The sequence below is a fragment of the Homo sapiens genome, chromosome 2 (genome assembly GCF_000001405.40).
Source record: "Homo sapiens chromosome 2, GRCh38.p14 Primary Assembly".
Taxonomy (NCBI): Eukaryota; Metazoa; Chordata; class Mammalia; order Primates; family Hominidae; genus Homo; species Homo sapiens.
In genome coordinates, this window is record NC_000002.12 from 189,105,033 (window position 1) to 189,125,088 (window position 20,056).

The 20,056-nt window shown below is 32.8% G+C and overlaps 1 protein-coding gene across 4 annotated transcripts in view; it reads right to left on the reverse strand.

Annotated features, from left to right (window-relative positions):
• The window catches only part of COL5A2 (collagen type V alpha 2 chain), a 409,214-nt gene that overhangs the window by 73,135 nt on the left and 316,023 nt on the right, over positions 1-20,056 (reverse strand). For all 4 annotated transcript variants that reach the window (XM_047443252.1, XM_011510573.4, XM_047443251.1 and 1 more), the window contains one exon: positions 5,193-5,417. In XM_047443252.1, coding sequence (XP_047299208.1) covers positions 5,193-5,376 — 184 coding nt within the window. In that variant the 5' untranslated portion in view covers positions 5,377-5,417. The remainder of the gene's footprint in view (positions 1-5,192; positions 5,418-20,056) is intronic.

Here is a 20,056-nt window from a genome sequence, read left to right on the forward strand (position 1 = left end):
TGTACTTTATCATCTAACCAGGACACTTTTAAGAATGAAAGTGAAAGTTATTGTTTATTATGCCAAGAAAATTGATGTAATTTGGGGTTTTCCTAGGCAAGCTAGAATGAAGGTCATGCTGGCTATTAAAAATAATATTGTAATGAGTAATTGTTACGTATACGCTACATGCAAGTATATTTGTAAGATAAATTCCCCAATATCCTTTTTGAGTTAAAGGTATAGGCATTGGTAACTTGATAGATACTACCAATATCCTTTCATAGAAATTATACCACTTTACACTCCACAAATAATGGACACATTTCCCCACAGGCAATATGCAGTGATACCCAGTATGCTATCAAACATTTTAATTTTGGCCAATCTGATAGGTAAAACATGATAGCTCAGTATAGTTTTCATTCACATATTTTATTATGAGAAAATTTGACAGTTTTGTCATATATTGAAAAATCATTTGTATTTCCTTGTTCGAATGATTAGCTAATTTCCCTTGCCTATATTTTTATTAGGTTATTGATATTTTAATTATTTATATCTAGTATTTCTTTATATGTAAAGAATATTAATTCTTTGTGAATTGAGTTGCAAACATTTCTACTTTGCTCATTTTTTGTGTCACACAAATGTTTATTATTTTTGTACATTTTTATGCCTTCTGGGCTTTGAGTCAGAATTCATAAAGTCATATATTTTAGAAGACTATAAAGAAATTATCCTATGTTATCTTTGAAATCATTATGATTTAATTTTTCTCATTTAAATCACTGCTTTATTTATAATTTGTGCTAGTGTAGAATATATTTTTATTATTCAACTTCATTTTTTTCCAGATGATTGCCTAGCCATTCCAACAAGGTTTATGAAATAATTCTTCTTTTCTCCACTGCTACGATGCCATCTTTATTGTATTCAATCTGACCATGTATATTTGGATCTACTTCAAGATTTTATTTTATTCATGTATCTACATCACATTTTTTAAACTAATGAATCCTTTTTAAAATCTTGTAGGGCTAGTCATCCTTAATTGCTCTTATTCTTAAGGATTTGCCTGATTATTCTTTCTTGTGTAGTCTATGAAAATTTTAACTTGCAATATGTTGAATTCTCAAAGAAAGTGTGCTATGTTTATATTGAGATCATGTTAAAATCACTAATTAACTTATGGAGAATTTATGTGAGTGTAATGTTTAGTCTTTCTAACCAAGAACATAATAGGACATTCAGTCTTTTAAATACTTAGTTTGAATTAGCAGTATTAAAAAATTTTCATCAGATCTCATACATTTTGTGTTAAGTTATCCTTAAGTGTCTGTTGCTATTACAAATGAGGAATTTTTATTCCTATTATTTCTTCTATGATGTAATTGTTTATACATAGTAAACCTATTAATTTCTGCTTGTTAATTTTGCACTCTCATGTCTTACTAAATTCTTTTATTTTTTGTAGTTTTATTTTTACTCAATTTAATAGGTTTGTAAGCATACAATTGTATTTTCTGCAAATGGATAGTTTTTGCTCCTCTTTTTAGAGTTTTGAAACCTCTGATTTCTTTTTTTAATGTCAAATTATTTATTCAGGCACATTCAGTACTGTTAAATGGTAATGGTGATAATGGATACTCAGTCTATCTTTGTGTTTAGTAGGGATGCTTTTAGTATTAAGCATAATGAAACTTTTAAGTTGAGATGTAAATATTGTATTATGTTAGTATCATTTATTACCAAGTTAGTAACTGTCTTTATCAAAAGTATTTACTGATCATTGTCAAATACTTTTACTTTAATTATGAAAGAATTCATATACTTTCTCTTCATAGATCTGTTAAGATAATTATTTTTATTAATAGCTTCCTTAATAGTCAATTATTTTGCACTTGTGGAATAATCGCCACTTTTTCATGAATAATTACTCTCTTAATATGCTAATAGACTTAATATTTTATTTAGAATTGTAAAAAAAATTTATGAGATCAGTTCATAGTTTTTTGTGTGTGTCATTGTTATTACTTTTGCTGTAAATAATATACTTCCTTCATAGTAAAACTTTGAAAGTTTGCTGTCTCTTTCAATGTTCAAGAAGAGGATTTAAAAGCATTAAAACCATCTGATTTCTTTTTAAGACCTTTTAGTTGTTTGACACAACTGTGAAAACACCTGGACTTGCTGCTTTGGGAATCTAGCTGCTTTGCAAATTTCTCTGTTTCTTCTAAGAAAATCCATGTTCTAAGATTTTCTGTTTCTACCAGAGCTAGTCTTAGTAAATTACATTGTCTTAGAAAATTATTCATATTAGTTTTCAAATTTATGAAGATACAGTTGAATAAAGGGACCTCTTAATGATTCTTTCATGTTGTTTTACTTTCATTAGGTAATTTTTTCTTTATCATTTTTTGCTTTAGGTTAGATCTTTTGGTTGGGTTTTTATGGGACCATGTTTTGGATTTACATATTATTTCTACTATATTTCAGTTTTCTCACTTTTCAACTTCTGTTTTTATCTTTACAATTTTTTTCTTCCACTTACTTTCAGTTTATTTTGTTGATTCTTTTTAACTTTTTGAGAAAGATGCTAAATGCACATACTTTTATTCTTTCTTTTTATTTATATAAGCATAGAACTATGATTTTTTGTTAAAATTTTAAAAATAAAATGTTTCACTGTGTTTTCAAGTATCTTTGTTTGGTGTGTTAGAACTTCTTATGTTTAAAAAGATTTATATATTAGTTCTATCAATTATATTCCATATTCTGCTAAATTATGTTAACATTCTTTTACATTACTCATAGATCTGTATTTGTTTAGACAGTTTCTATTAGTTCCACTAAAATGAGCAATGATAAAATTGACAGTGTTTCTTTTTTCTTACATGCCGCTCAGGTTTTCTTCTAGCATTCCATTTTAACAAGGAAATGTTCTTTTTAGCATTTATTTTTGTAGTGTTAAATGTGCCACTACTTTGTTCATGTGATTTGTCAGGTTTGAATGATATTATCTGACTTTCACCTTTAAAGATGAGGAATTACCAAACTCACTCTAGTTCATACTTTCTTTTGCCTCCCCCTTTCATTATATATGTTTTATAATTATTTCTGCATTGTCAGAAGCTATAATATTTACAATCCCATCTGTCACCCTAAGTTACACTTTTGTTTTAGTCTTTTTCTAGATTTAAATATAATAAATGCTCACATAAGTTCTTTGACAGTTTCTTCAATTAACTCTTGGTTGCCTTGCATTTAGCCGATGGTAGTTTCCCTGAGAAATTTATAGAAACAATAACCCCACAGAAATGCTTTTACTGTAGCTTTTATATTTGAAGGAGAGAATGGATTTATATTTAACTTTAATTAACCATATTATCTCCTTAAGAAATATGTATATATTGCTCCACTGTCTTCTGACACTGGATACTGTGGAGAAATTTGTGACCAGTCTTAACAACTTTTCCCTTGAGAAATAATCTGTTCTTATTCTTTGACATTCTAAAGAAGTATTTATTTATCTTTAAAGTTTAATGACTTCATTAAGTTACATATGTCTCTGTTAACTCTTTTAGGTCAATTTTTCAGACATGTGGTTGCCATTTCAATATTGACATTAAAGTTTTACTTCATAAAATTTTTCTTGTATTATATTGTTATTTGTTCTACTCAATTGTATTAATTTTTTCTTTGGGTGCCCATCTTCAGGGTTATCCCTTGCTTGCCTTCTACATCTATTATTTTTTAACTCTTTAAAAATTGTAATTCATTATTTTCCTATTCTCATGGCCCTTGCTTTATTTTGTGTGATATCAACTCTCCTTATGATCCCTCATATTTCATCTTCATTTCTTTGTGATGATTTGATTTTCCTTCTATTTCTTTTCTGACCATTACTTATTTCTGCTTTATAGCCTTCTTTCTTAAAGAGAATTACTTTATTAAGTTTTTTTTTTTTTTTGGTTCACGGTAAAATGATAGGTCAGAATTTTCACATGGTCTATAGCAATATATTTTCTGGTGTGTTATCTCGTAAATTTAGCTGAACTCAACCACTTTTTATCTTATGGCATCTGTGCATAATGCAATTGCCAGCTCCTAGACCAACTATTTGAAGGAGACTGTATATTTTGGTGTGTTTTCTGATATTTGCCACCATTGTTCCCATTTGCTATTCACTTATCCCCACGGATTTAATTTTACTTTATTCCTGGGCTGTTTTGATGATTGTATTTGCTTTGGGTAGCTCTTATATGTCTTGGTTTTAATTCTTTCTTTTATATATTTCTTATTACATTACTGAAAAGTGAGTGTAGGTATTTACCCAAGGCACATTGTTTCTGTTCAAGAAGCAGAGAAAAGGTAAGTTGCTATCTATTTCCATATACATACTGTTGAAACCTTTATTGTATTTGCTGTTATTTGCAATGAAATTTTGAAAAAAAAATAAAGCCTTGATATTGTCTTGACAATGATGAATTAGAAGTCTCATGACTGCTAACACAAATAACCTGAAGGTTTAATATTGCTCTTACCTTGTTTATTGAAACCTATAAATATAAACTTGTTTCCCTAACATGTATCTTTAAAATATGTACTCATACTGAAATACATAATATCTGTTAAACACAGAAACTTTTTCTTCAAAGAAGTTTTAAAAGTTTTACTTTATATTATTTTTTCTCCTGGAAATCTATTTCATTCTTTACCTAGCCAACATGAAAAGCATTCTGCATTTAAGAGCCAATGTAATACAGGGTGCTGTGGCACTGAATTACATTAGGAATAAGTATTCCATTCACTAGGACAAAGTTGGCATCATTGTAGATAAATGTGTTTTCTAGATCTTCTCTCAGGCATTAATGGACTTAAAGGGAAACTGAAAAATAACTTGGAGGCACTCATCATGCATATGGTAACAAATGATCATCTTAAGTGATTCAAGAAATTCTCAGATTAGACATAACCACCAAAATTCAGCCCCAAATGCTTCAGATATTTAAGAAGACAGGAAATTACTGTCTGCTTCTATCTAACTTTAGATGAAGTGAGTGAGCAAAATCATTAATCATTAACCCCAAAAGCCACCAAAAAAGCTGCTTAATTATTCTCTTGAGTTGCTGAATGCTGAAAGTGAAAAACACTGCAACTATAAAGGTGAGTAACTGGATCAATTATGAGTTGGCCCTAAACATTCTTACCAAAATTGGTATTGCCACCTCCAGGTGTTTGTGAACAGACAGGACAGCATTCCCCAGGGGGCGTTACAGGGTCGGCACAGTCCAGCACATCCTGGCATTCTATCTTGTCACAGAGAATGGCTCCATTGTCACAGACACAGATCTGACAAGGGGCAGGTTTCCAAATGTCCCTGTTTAAGTACATCTGGCCATTCTGAGTGCAGGCTATTTCTTCACCATATCCTTCTAAAATAAGAAAAGAAAGAAGAGGTTAGTAATCTGAAATTATAGAATTGAGAAAATAAAAGGTGAGCCATCTTGTGGATTCTAAAAAATTCTGGACTAAGAAGTAACCTTCCAAGGAGCCAAACACAGATGAACTGATTTCATTTCATAACAAAATAATATGTAATTCACCATGAAATAATGATAATGTATCCTTGCATGATAGGGGAAGAAATAAAAGTGATACAATGGAGGTATATTTTTTAACCAGATAATGCTTCCTTCAAGATTTTATTCTTGAAGGTATGAATGATGAAACATGAGAATATCAATAAAGAGGGATAAAAGAGAACCATCTGAAAATGGGGAGAAAATGAATAGCTCAAAGGAGAATATAAAATTTGAATGTTTGGTGAACCCTATTATGACTTGCAACTCACTGGAAACTTTAGTAAATTCCACAACAGGAGACAGTATGTTTTCATGTACCATAGAAAAAAACTTCAAAAAAGAAAAAGGTGTATGTTTTTATTAAAATTATTTTTAAATGTACAGTAAAAAAGTATAACCATGTCCCATTTCATGGAGTAGAATTCTATTTGATATACTAAATTGATGGTGTTTACTCAACTGTGGCAGAAATGCAAAACTTATGCAGATAATGAGTGAATTATGTTTGCATCAAAATTAATTAAGGAAAACCATAGCCAAAATAATACAGTGAGTTAATATATATTTGTCTAGTGCTTTTCTACATTTACATTACAATTTAAGAAAGTTTGGGAAAATACACACACATATATATGTGTGTGTGTGTGTACACATATTGCTCAAGAGCAGTTCTATTATACATTTACTAACAAGTAAACACATATATTACATCATTAACTTTGTGATTTTATAAGAAATACTACAGAATTTTAAAACATAATGTGGATCAAATCATCCTTGCTTAAATACATCAAGAACTTCCCAACTACTTAAATTCAAAACTTCCTTATAAAGGCTAAAGACCTTCTTTCCCATTTCTTGCACAACTTGACCACTTTTGCCCAGCACTACCTCTCCTTCCTTCATCCCAGGCCCACATGGCTATCTATCATTACTTACTTCAATGTCATCTCCCCGCGAAATTCTTTTCTGACTACCCTGCAAAAATTAGACTTCCTTTACCCAACTGATATTTTTCAGAGACCTTTTCAAAGAACTCATTCACTCAGCCATTCATTCATTTATTCATTCATTCATTGTGTATTATATGCTAGGTAATTGAAGAGATACTAAAATGTGAACAAATAGGCAAAAATCACTGCCCTCAGGAAGTTTATTAGAATGAGTATTAATTTTTTATTTTTGTTTAGTTTATCTCCCTCACTAGAGAAAAACTAGATGAAAGTAAGGACTAGGCGTCTTGTTCATCACTGTATTTCTTTTCTTTTTTTTTTTTCTTTTTTAAAATGGAGTTTTGTTCTTGTCGCCCAGGCAGGAGTCCAATGGTGCGATCTCAGCTCATTGCAACCTCCGCTTCCTGGGTTCAAGCAATTCTCCTGCCTCAGCCTCCCAAGTAGCTGGGATTACTGGCACCTGCCACCATGCCCAGCGAATTTTTGTTTTAGTGGAGACGGGGTTTCGCCGTGTTTGCCAGGCTGGTCTCCTGACCTCAAGTGATCCACCCACCTCAGCCTCCCAAAGTGCTGGGATTACAGCCGTGAACCACTGTGCCCGGCCTCCTCATTGTATAGCTTGATGCTATACCTTTCATAGAACAGCCATTTAATAAATATTTGTCTACTGGATGGATATAATGAATGAATCTAAACTACGGTAAACTAGTTTAATTGCACAGCATGAACTTTGTACTTCATAAAAAGATGTTTTAATGTAGTTGTAATCAGTTTATGAAAGATATTATCATTTGGCATATAAATATATTCAAATGATAATGCAAAGCTACATATGAAAATTATTTTAGTTTACAATACAGATATTAATACAAAAATCTGCTTTATATAATTATTATTTGTCAATTATACCTTAATAAAGCTGGAATAAAAACATTTTTCTCACTGTCCTGTGGAATATTTTGCTTTATGTATTTAGTCTTTCATCACAGATATTTGGCAAACGGAAAATTGCTTTCAGAGAGTAACACTACTATATCCTAATGGTTTGTGTGCTGTTTTATAAGATGAGGACACAAGTTTCTAATCTGTTTTATCTTCATTAAAAGACTTGTATCACATAATACATATCTAATCAACAAAACAGTATTAGCTCTATGTCCATAGTGCTATTATAGTCATTTAAAACCAAGGGGAAAATAGAAATTATGTTTTAATATGCTTTTCTGGAAGATTATTTTGAAAAAATGAGAAATGTATTCATCAAATAAACAGTGTGACTTTTAGATGAAATATCACTTTAACACAGTGTAATTCCATGAATAACATTTCCAAAGACACAACCTGTATAAAAATGGGCTTATGTCTATAGTTCACTGAACAATTCCATTAAGTAGATAACTTAAGGGTAATTTTGCTCATTAAGTTTTATGATTGAGAAGGAAATATCCACTTACAAATGTTAAATGCTATTACCTGAAAATGAGATACTACTTCAATTAGCTTGTTTCTCTCATTACACACTCTTGGGTGGGGGTGCTGGGAGTTAAGTGCATATGTGCCTAGTACTAATTGTGCAAAATATTGAAAGCATATGTGGCTGGGTGTAGTGGCTCACACCTACAATCCCAGCATGTTGGGAGGCCAAGGTGGGAGGATTGCTTGAGGCCAAGAGTTCAAGACCAGCCTGGGCAATATAGTGAGATACTATCTCTGCAAAAATTTTAAAGTTAGCCAGGCACAGTGGCTTGTGCCTGTAGCTCCAGCTACTCCGAAGGTGAGGTAGGAGGATGATTTTAGCTCAGGAGTTCTAGGCTGCAGTGAGCTATGGGAACGCTATGCTACTGCACTCCATCTTGAGCAACAGAGTGAGACCTGGACTCACAAAAAGAAAAGACAAGAAGGAAGCATATGTGTTCCTTTCTGTCCTCAAAATATATATTATTGTGGAGTATTATATATATTATATATGTTACACATATAACAATATATGTATGTTTTATATATATAACATTGTGGAGTGCTATATTTGTTATATAATAGATGAATATAATTAACTTATTATATAATTTTAATTATATAATATATGTTTGTTTATTGTATAAATCTTGAAGGAGCCATAGAGAACAGGATAAGTTATCCCCTGAAGATTTATAAAATGAATTATTATAACAAAATATGTTATTATTGGATATATATTATATATAAGGATATATATGCTGATGGGATAATTAGATATTTGGAAGCAGAGAATATGAAAAACAAAAACAAGATGACACGTAATGATGTCAATTAAATATTAAAATATGTGAGGAACTCTTCAAGGAGTAGCTTATCTTCTTCCTTGTGGCTCCTTTAGGGTTGGAATAAAAAGACACATTGTCTCAGTCTTGTGTTAACACCTAGAAGAGCAGTTTCTTTCTGAAAGTTTAAGACAACATAACTTCAACTCAAGGGGCAAAGAAGTGGGCCACTGGATTACTTTCTTTAAATGATAATGTTAAAGGTTAGTTTTATACTCTGAGTCATCATGGCTTCCCTTCTCCTGAGAATTTATAATTAAATTTAAGATGATGTGGAAAGTTAGTTGGAATGCTTTTAAATAGCAAGGAGACGAAAAACCACATTCACTGTTAAACCTTGTCTTCTCTTCACTCAGACAAGAATCCATACACATCACAGAGGGCTCAAAAACTCAGTGAACTCTCATTGTCCATGTCTGAATGAAAGACATGTACAAAGAAACAGTGGGTAGAAAATACAGGGTGTCTTGCAGTTTTCACGGATCTACATGGTAGTTGTACACCATATGATTAAGTTGTCCCTTCTGTTTTCTACACAGACATTTACTTAAACGAAAAGAAAAGTAAAATAGAAAGCAAAATTGCAGCCAATTTGTTGAAAAATATTGCAGTAAAGTTGTCATAATAGAATTATTTTATAAATGACAACACAGTATAAAATAACAAAAATTTTCAAATGACATTCTGAGAAATTCAATTCTGTCCTCCTGATTTCTCTATCCAAATCATAAAATTAACCCAAGCTGACGTCCAAAGCTTAGATTCAAGGCCCAGGACTTAAAAAAAAAAAAAAAAAATGTTTCTTAAAATACCTGGATATTGGGGCCGGTCAGGGAGTAGGGTGGGGTTGCGGGAGGGAGAGCATTAGTAAAAATTAGAAAAAAATAGTTAATGCATGCTGGGCTTAATACCTAGGTGATGGGCTGATGGGTGCAGCAAACCACAATGGCACACGTTTACCTATGTAACAAACCTGCACATCCTCCACATAAACCCTGGAACTTAAAATAAAAATAAAATTTAAATTTAAAAATTAGATAAATATTTTTATATAATCTAAAAAAGAACGCCAAAACTATAATTTTGCATTACTTGTATTTTTTGCTGTTTATGTTTAACTTTCCTAAAATTGATTAGGACTGGTAGAAATCTGATAATACCATCACTATTTTGTAATTTTCATGTTTATCTCCCAACCTACAAGATTCTTTTACCCTCACCAAATGTTCCAATAAATTGAATCCATTGTGAAGTCATTCCCACAACAATTGTGGCACTGATATATTACAGAAAAGAGATATATTTTATCTGATCACATTTTATTTGAAATCAACTCAATTTTTCTGTTTCTCATATATCCTCATAGATTTCTCTTCTCATAAATCTTAAGTGCTTTTAAATTTAGTTGTAAGAATTCAGTTCTTAATCACTAGATGGCAGACCAAATCCACCATCTTATTATAACAATTAGAAACTAAATTATCACAATTGCAGCTTGCCAACTATATGGTATGCCCTGCATCCACATTTTTTCACACAATTACACCTGTGGGGGAAAAAAAAAAAGCCTGCATAGAAACGGCCATATTGAAACCTTGGACTGGCCAAGAGAGACGACTGTATTTGCATATTAAATTATTGGAGTCTACTTACAGGCTTTGAAAAATATATGAAATAAAAGTCCCTAAAATTATGTTAGATATTCTCTAGCCATTAACTAAAGTTCTTTCAAGCAGAAATAATACACAGCACACACGTGTTATAAAAATTTTAAATCTCTTATTCAGACACAGGTTTGTGCTGATCATTTTCCCCTGTGAGCTGTGAGACTGTGAGCTCCTCGACAGCCAGAACTGTGTTTACCTCAGCAACCTTCACATTTAATGTTATATAATCCGTCTTTGATAAACGTATGTGTAGCATTGATGAATGCAGATGTGAATGAGGAAAGTAAGGAACTAGTTCATTGATATGCCTATTAAAAAGATAAGCACTTTTAGCTCTCTTTCCTCCTTCCCTAATCTTTCCAGAGAGGATGTGCTCTTAGGAACCCTTTTTTGAATGAAAGGGAATGGTCACTTGGTGGTTCTTACCAGGTGTGTCCCTGACATTCAGGCCTCTGTGTGACCAGAAAGGAAGAAGACTGTGTCAGTCACAACAGTTCATATTTTAGAACAACCTTCAGAAAGCTACAGCAACCCTTCAGCCTTCCTGACCCAGCAGATTTAGGTCCCTTTTGGGATTGTGAAGATCTGGGCTACCATTACTTAAAGTTTCTCTGACTGTAAAGGTCCTTGAGGGACTATAATCATGACACTGTCAGCTGGTGGCCTCATGAAGTGGAGAGAGAATGCCTTGTGGGACAAAGGAGGAGGTAATAAAGCCGCCCACGTGTCAGTCTGGATGCCACAGATGCTGCCTTTAGTAATGCACAGCAGAGCGTGGGCTCCTGGATGGGGTTCCAGAGAACCTACCAAGGAAATCCTTCCCTTCCTTCTGCTCTAGGGCACTGTTTATCATTAGAAGGGAAAGACGAAGAGGGACAGCATTCAATTCCTTCTTTAGACCATGCAGAGGAGATGCCAAAAATTCCACATTCCTCATTTTGCTTTCCTTAAACAACTCCCAAATTTGAAAAGTTAGATACATATGAAGCCACCAGGGATACCTGAGGGGGATCTATTACATACTTTGACAATTTTTTTCTATCTCAGCCTCAAGATCTATGGGATGGTGGGAGGATAAGTATGTATGGGGTAGGCCTATGGGGTTTTACATCTTCTGTTCTTCAATCCACTGCAAAGACTTTTACTTTCTAGTGAGCCCCGCAAGCTTAAATCTGGTTTTAGGATAGTTATCCAAATTATTACTTTTTCTGTGCCCTGCTCCTTTTTTCCTTGTACCAACTGAACAAGAGTAGGCATTCAATAATTATTTGAGCTGAGTTAAATTTTTGTTCCACTAAGGACAATCATGTTTTATATTCTAAAGCAATATAATGACAATTTTGAAAATTTTCCTTGAAATCTGAAAAATTGAAAAGGAGATGACTCATAGAAAGCTTCATTTCAATGCATTTCAGTGAGCATATGAATTTAAAAAATTTGATAAACTGTCTGTGAAGGTGGTTGGTTTCTTCAGTGCAACCATTAAATGTTTTCCAATCTCATAAGCAAAGTTTTTCAGTTAACTAGTAAAACTGCTGTTTTTACTTTACTTAAAATGGAAAAAATAGAAAGGAAAAACTCTCATATTAGGTATACTTAAGTTTTTTTCCATGTATCATTGGGAAATCTAAATGACTGTGGCCAAAACGTGAAACTAAAACTACACATACTGCACATGCAATGCTCATCTACAGTTCTGTCTGGAAGAGCAGATTTCAGTCTGCTAATGCATTTGACATAGATTTTTTTTCCCACATACCTCAAACTACTAAATAGCTGCAAAACAGCACAAAGAGAATTGAGCCAACTCTATAATCTATACACTAGAAATTTCAGCAGTAATTTTTATAGCCAACCTTAGTTCTAATCTTAAATATTAATCCTCAGTGAATAAGTTTGGTACAGAGCTATGCCAAATGTGTCTGCCTACCTAAATACATGAAACATTTGTAAGTGTTCTGAATGATGTCTACTTAATCTCTCCTAGCCTAATATTGCTTGAGATCAACAGGAGAGACAAAAATCTGCTTAACTGTTTCTCTTTCAAAGGAGAAGTAAATATTCAGTAATATATAGTATCCACATTCCAGATTTCCTTCATCTCCTTCTGGTCTTAGCTCAAATGTTACCTACTCTGGTCACCTTACCAAAAAAATTGCACATGACTACACACACATACAACCATAACACTCTCAATTCACTAATTCTTACTCTTTTTTTTTTTTCTTTTAATGTAGTAGTTACCACTTTCAAGCCTACTATATATTGAATTTATTATGTTTATTGTTTGTCACCCCATGATAGAATTATAGCTCTGTGAGAACACATATAATTTATTTTGCTTCCTTTGTTGATATATTCTGATATCCTAGAATAGTGTCAGGATCATAGTAAATGCTCAAGAAGTATTTGTTGAATTAATTTATTGAATATTAGTTGTTTGCTTAAGAAGCTTTATATGGTAAAGTCATTTCATAATATTCTTTTGTATATAAAAAGGGATTTTTATATCTAAAGTCAATTGTTAAGAATACCAAGTAAGAGATCTAGGCCATATTGAATACAAAATGATATGCTTCAACCCTGGGCTATTACCTGATTTTTAGAGAAGCGCCATTTTAGCTGCTTATTTAAATGTGGGCCAAACCTACAAAGCTTTAAAATACCATGAATTATAGGAATATGATGTATTATCATTTATTCCTGACATTATATCCTAAAAAGAACATATATTTTTACTCATTTTTGTAATTGAAAATAATTATTATTGTATTTTAAGAGAATATTCATTATTGTATACTCAATGAGTATAAAATTAAATATTTTACATAAAACATTTTAGAATCAATTTAACTCTGTATTTTATTATGTCTTTGCAGCTGCATTTTGCCTCCTTTTTCAATTTTCCCTGATACAGAAGAATATTTAGGGCCTCTAGAGAAAATCCAGACATTGTAGTCAGCTTATTTCTTCCAATTCATTCTTTATTCTCTGCCCTTGCCTTGAGCAAGTTGAAATTTCTTTTACAATCCACCAAACATTCCACAGTTCTCAATGGCTCTTTGATCCCATTCATTTCAGTACCAAGGATTCTAAAATATTTTGAAGAAAATTTCTAATAGGAATTTAAAGGGATGCCTCTTTCTGCATTATTCCCTCTGGAGCTCAGTTCTGGAGGCATGGGTGAAAGGAGACTAGTGCTGTCATCCCAAAGGCCAATTTCTAATTTTATCCTCTTGGAAATATCTAGTGACTTGAATTAGTATTCAGTTTTGTTCTGCTTTACACAGATTTAATTTACATCTATTTTCTAGCTATTAAAAAAGTAAGTGATTTTGCTGAAGAACAAAACTAAAACTAGATTTTACTCTTCTTTCTGGCATTCCTTTCCAAGTCACTTCCAGAACAGGTAATAGAATCTTTAAAAAAAAAACTGTAATTGTTATTTCAGAACCTAAATTCATCTCTTAATCTTCATATTTAGTTTATCCCTTATAATGTGCATAATTGCATGGAAGCCAATTTATTTATTGCATGTTTAAGATCAAAACTCAATATGCTCTGAATCTCAAAACCAGCCAAATGCCATAGTCATACTTGGTATGAGAAAAAGAGTTGTTGCCTTTATTGGAAAGTTATATCAATAACTTTTTAGATGCACAGCAAAGCTCTTCATTGGGTAATTTCTCTACTTGTAGGGAGAACAAAAGACAAGAAAAGCAAACAGACAAGGAGGATGAAGAGAGGAAGGAGGGAGAGGGGTAGAGGAAGGAGGATGAGACAATCATCTTCTTTCCATGTAACTTTACTACATCAAGAAGGAGGTTTTACAAGTTTCTTTAGAAAACAACAGAATTAACCTGAAGATACTTCTTTATCCTATTAGGGAAAATACAAAGAATGAATCGGAGATTTTTCACCTACAAATCCATGTGCTTCTAAGGAGAAGTTGCTATTTTCCTTAACAAGTAAACATGGGCAAACTTTATTAGAATTTCAAAAGTTTTAGATTATTACTTAATGTTATTCATTCAGTTTTTTAAATTCTGAATTTTATCATTATTGTATAATTCACATTTTAATTTATTTAAACATGGTGACTACGAATAAAATATCTATAAAGGAAAACAATACTCTTGTCATTTTCTTTAAATACCTGTGGAAAGATTTAAAGTTTCTAAAATCTTTCAAAAATTTGCTTAATTCCAAGTAACTACAGAATACTTATTTCTTGCTAATACAGTCATTAGCACATGCTGAGATCAGAGGAGAAAAATATATAACATTTCCTAAACTAAGGAGTATAAAATTTAGTTTGGACAAAAGATTAACTAAGTTGTTTACTAGTCAACTGGTTATTACTAAATTAATAAATGAAAAGTGTGCCTCAGTTTTTCTACTTGTTAACATATAGAAAAAGATAAAACATGAGCCTTTACTTTTGCAGATAAGAAATATTTAAAGATGTCATAAAGAAGTTTGCTTTAAAGTGTGTTTGAAAGCTCATCCTAAATTTGTCAATCTGGAAAAAGGAATAGAGGCATTAGTTAATCCATTTAATCGATAGTTATTTATCTAGCAAATATAATAACAATTTTATTAAATACTTGTTTAGTACAAAAGAAAACTTTGGATCAGAGAATGAGACATTTGGAGTTCAACTTCCTTGCCAAAAACAACCAAAATATACAGAAGCTGCAAAAGATAATGAATTTTTTGTAGAATGATTTTGCTCATATGTGTATTTCACTAGTGCATTCTGGAAAAATTACATACACACTGAAACTTCATAAACTCATTCTATTTTTTCATTTCTCTAACCTATATGTATCCTGGGGCCTTTTGAATTATTGGTCCTTATCTTGGAAATCTTCCTCTGTGTTTTGAGAGGTTTTGTCTAATGCTGTTTATTTTCATTAACTACAACTAAGTCTGGGGAACATCAACCTGAGGATTTCCTAGAATCCAAAACAAAAACAATCTTCAATCATTATGGAAATATAAAATTCTGTTTATAAAAGCAAACTTCAAATTAGTAAGGGTGAACAGAATACAGAATAACATTACATTCACTTATGAGTATATCATCTATTGATTCTCCTTTGGTGTCCTATTTGATAATGAAACATATTTTAAACCCTTAGACACCAAGACAGTCTGGATACATAGCAGAGAGAAAGTGGAAACCCATAAATGCAAATCATTCAATGATCCCTCAGAATATACCAGCCATAATAATGGCTAAGGCCACAGTTTAGAGATCCTCTGTGTGAGTTTCAGTCCTCCCTGTATGTTTTAGTCTTCCAACACCTTTGGCATTAAGAATGTGTTTAAATCATAAAATAAATACACTTATTCTTGAAGCAAACATCAAAATAACATAATGTATGCATTTTGATAATATTGTTTATTTATTCAACAAATATTTATCTGTTATTTTGCCAAGCACTGGGAATACAGTTAAAGTAATGAATTCCTCTCTACCTTTACGGAGTTTACAGACTACTGAGAGAACCAGTGCAGTAACAGATTATTAGAACATAATTCTTTAAATACAAAATTATAGGCAAATCTTGGTTGTTGTGGGAACATGTAGGAAGGGCATATCATCTAGGCTGGAGGTCAGAGAAGTCAAAAGAAATCTGGGATTTGAGTTCTTTAACTTCCTTATTTCCTTTCTTTAATTTATTGTTTTGGGGGTTGCTTTTTTTTCAAGTGAGAAAATTAAAATCCAAAGCAGTTTTTTCCAAAAATTCATTTCCAAGGTGTATAATATTGTTACTCCTGGCTCCTTCCTGGTAATTGGCAACAGATTCCTTCTCTCTACCAACTGGCCAGGATGGATCTGAAGGAGACCAGGTACTCCCTCTCAACCATGACTCTGATTTTAATTTCTTTACCATCTCTTCCTTTGACTGAGGGTAAAACAACAGCACTCTTGTTTCTAAACCAACTGGTATGTCCATGGGAAGGTGCCTTGGAGGAGGGGTGGGGCTCTTGCGGTGGTGCGGGCCAGCAGTCCAGAAGCCAAGACAGTGGTGCACAGCAACATGGCAGGAACCATTTGTTGCCGATGACTAACTCACTCTAGCCACACTGGGACAAACTATAAAAGCATTTTTCAGGAGAATGGCATGAACCTGGGAGGCAGAGCTTGCAGTGAGCCGAAATTGCACCACTGCACTCCAGCCTGGGTGACAGAGTGAGACTCCGTCTCAAAAAAAAAAAAAAAAAAAAAAAGCATTTTTCTAGGTCCAATTCCACAGTCTTTCTTCAATTGTAGATACAGAATTCTGGATTATTGTGTTTTGACATTTTAGGAAGTCAAAAAAATAGTATAATGTCTAGTTTGAAAGAAGCTGACTTTTGTAATTTAGAAAACACTGTGAAGTAAGATATTAAATACCCATACTAAAAGTTTATTTTACTTATACTTAGCACATCCACTTATACTCATTTTCATAGATTACTTAAGTATTTATTGAGTCTACTTACTGTATGCCTGACTATATACCATGGAAGAAAGATACAAAAGTTAAAGATACACAAGCTACTCCAGAGGAGCTTAGAGGAAAGTTTATAAAGTCACTCTTTTAACAAATATTTACTAAGAACATTCAAAATGTAAAGTATCTTCTATCCAGTTGTTTCTTCAATGACCACAATTAGTTGAGGTAGCAAATAGTTTATATAAGATACGAGGTTTGAGAATTACAAATAAGAAATCTGAAAAGATGGTATCACTATAAGCTGAAATTATCTGAGAAAGGGTGAGTAGAAGTGGGTTCTTAAGCAGGCCTTGAAAAAATAGAAGGTATTTGAGGTGGTGGGGGTAAGGAAAACTCTGCCTGGGAAAGAGGCAGGGAACCACCTAAAACAGGAATAGAGAGGGAGGAAAACATGTCATATACATAGCTTCAGGAGGGGATGGTTTAATTTATCAAAAAAAGGAGGTGATGAGAATACTTGGTACATGTGATACCTCTTCCACTAGGAAAGTTTTAACGACATGCCCACATGGAATTTGGTCATTCTCTTCTCTTGCTCTCATCTCACCTTATCCGTACACCTGGCAAATACCTGCAACATTCTATTACACTTATTGGTTTGTTTGCATGTAAACTCTACTGGGCTGTACATTTCTTGAGAATGAAAAATATTTAATTTCTCTCTATATCATGAGTGTATTAAAGTGCCTGATACATGAAATGCTTGCTGAATAAATGAAAAAAGGTAATAAATAAAAGAATGTATAAGAAGCTTTCAGGAATATTAACGTAACTACCTAATTAAAGATAAATCAGAAATAAATGAGACCAAAGGCCACTAGTGGAAAATGTTATACTGGAGTTAGGAGAAACAGTAGTTATGAGAACAGAGGTAAAGCCACGAGACACTAGGTAGAAAATACGAAGGGTTTGATGAAGTTTGGGTGGGATAAAGTATTTAATTTTTTTTTTTTGAGATGGAGTTTTGCTCTTGTTGCCCAGGCTGGAGTGCAATGGCACAATCTTGGCTCACCGCAACCTTCGCCTCCTGGGTTCAAGTGATTCTCCCACCTCAACCTCCCGAGTAGCTGGGATTACAGGCATGTGCCATCACGCCAAGCTAATTTTGTATTTTTAGTAGAGACAAGGTTTCACCACGTTGGTCAGGCTGGTCTCAAACTGCTGACCTCAAGTGATCCACCCACCTCGGCCTCCCAAAGTGCTGGGATTACAGGCATGAGCCACTGCGCCAGGCCTAAAAATTTTTAAAGATAATTTCAGAGTCTCAGAAATGAATGGAGGAAGAAATATCTACTGGGTACTTTGGGTTAAATTGTGCCCTGCTAAAAGATATACTGAATTCCTAATCCTCTGTACTTCAGAATGTGACATTATTTGTAAATAAGGTCATTGAAGATGACCTAATTAGTTAAGATGAGGTCATACTGGAATATGATGGGCCCTTAATCCAATATGACTGGTGTCCTTATAAGGAGGGAAGAGGGGAATAGATACAGAGACTCAGACACTCATTTCTGTTGTCATAAGCCACCCAGTTTGTGGTACTTTGTTATCAAGCACCCCTAGGAAAGTAACACAGGTGTATGGTCTAGACATCGAATGAAATAAAAGTTTTGGAGAGATAAACAAATTTTATTTTAAAAATCCTAAACTCTATTTAAGGCATGTTGGAGTGAATCTTAAGGAAGAATAACCCAGTAGAAATATTAATGGCAGCTATTAATTGTGTTCTAAAAGTTATGTTAAGTGAGTGATAAAAATTTTCCACATAGTCCTAACAACCATCCTGGTAGAGGCTTGGGGTCAATCATGATCACAAAGCTAGTGAGTGGCAGAGCCAATATTTAAAAAAAATATACGCCCATAACTATTATACATTGTGTTAGACAACCAGATTGCTATGTTAGAGAAAAGATAAGGGGATGGCACATTTACATGTACAAAAGTCTTAAGTCACACTCTAAATGTGGATTTTGACTAAGAGAGTGGAAAAGTGACAAATAGAGCTCCTGTGAAGAATGAAGAGCAATAGAAGCCTGGGTTAAAGAAAAAACAGGTAAAGCATGGTTTACCTTAGAGATGAGAAAAGGAAGCGATTAAGAAGGGTGTTTTAAAAGAAAATGTGTGAGAACAAGAAGCAATTAAAATATACTAAGATTGCGAACCCCATTCTTTCTATTCATTTCCCAACTCTAAATGGAGGAAATTTCATTTCCTGGTGTTCCGCCTGTGTAGCCACCAAATGTTACCATGCTAATATCCGGTGAAATTCCCCCTAGCTTTTCTGAGGCCTCACAGGATATTGATGGGGGAAAGACTATCTCCATGACATGAATAAGTCTTTCAGGTATTTTAATGAGTAGGGATAGTAAATGATTGCATACCAACTATTATTTAGTTCTGTTTAGATTAGTTTATAGGGCGCAGGAAATGAAATTTTTCCCCAGAATATTCAGCTTGCATTATATAAACATGACTCCGTTCAGCAAACAGAATGCACCATGCTTGCTATTTCACTTAAACTAAACAGGGGATGATAAAAAAGTCACTGAGGAAAAATTCAATAAAATTCAACATTATAAAATGCAATTTAAAGAAAACTATCAACTTCTGCTTTTTAAATTACATTACATTCATGTTTTCATTTTCTTTCATTTTTCTGAAGTCTGAACTAGTATTTTAAAAAGTTCTTAACTGTGTTTTCTTTTTTTTTTTTTTAATTTAATCTTTGCTATAGATTTGAAAATGGAATCTTCCTACCAGGACCAACTTATAACTTCAATTTTTTTCCTGTTTAGTAACGGTCAGGTTAGTCACAATAGATTCAACTGGCAATAAGGATTAGAAATAAAAGCAAATAATGAAATAAATGTAATTGCTCACTTTGTTTTATAGCAATAAAAGCATATGATCTAATAAAAAATTCTAAGTATGATCCATTTGCATACTGATTTAATGGCAGATAACTGAGTGAATCTGGATATTCTTATAGTGTTAATGGAATAGCAATGACTAAAAATTATTTAATGGAATTTTACGGGCTAAATATCAAGTATAAAG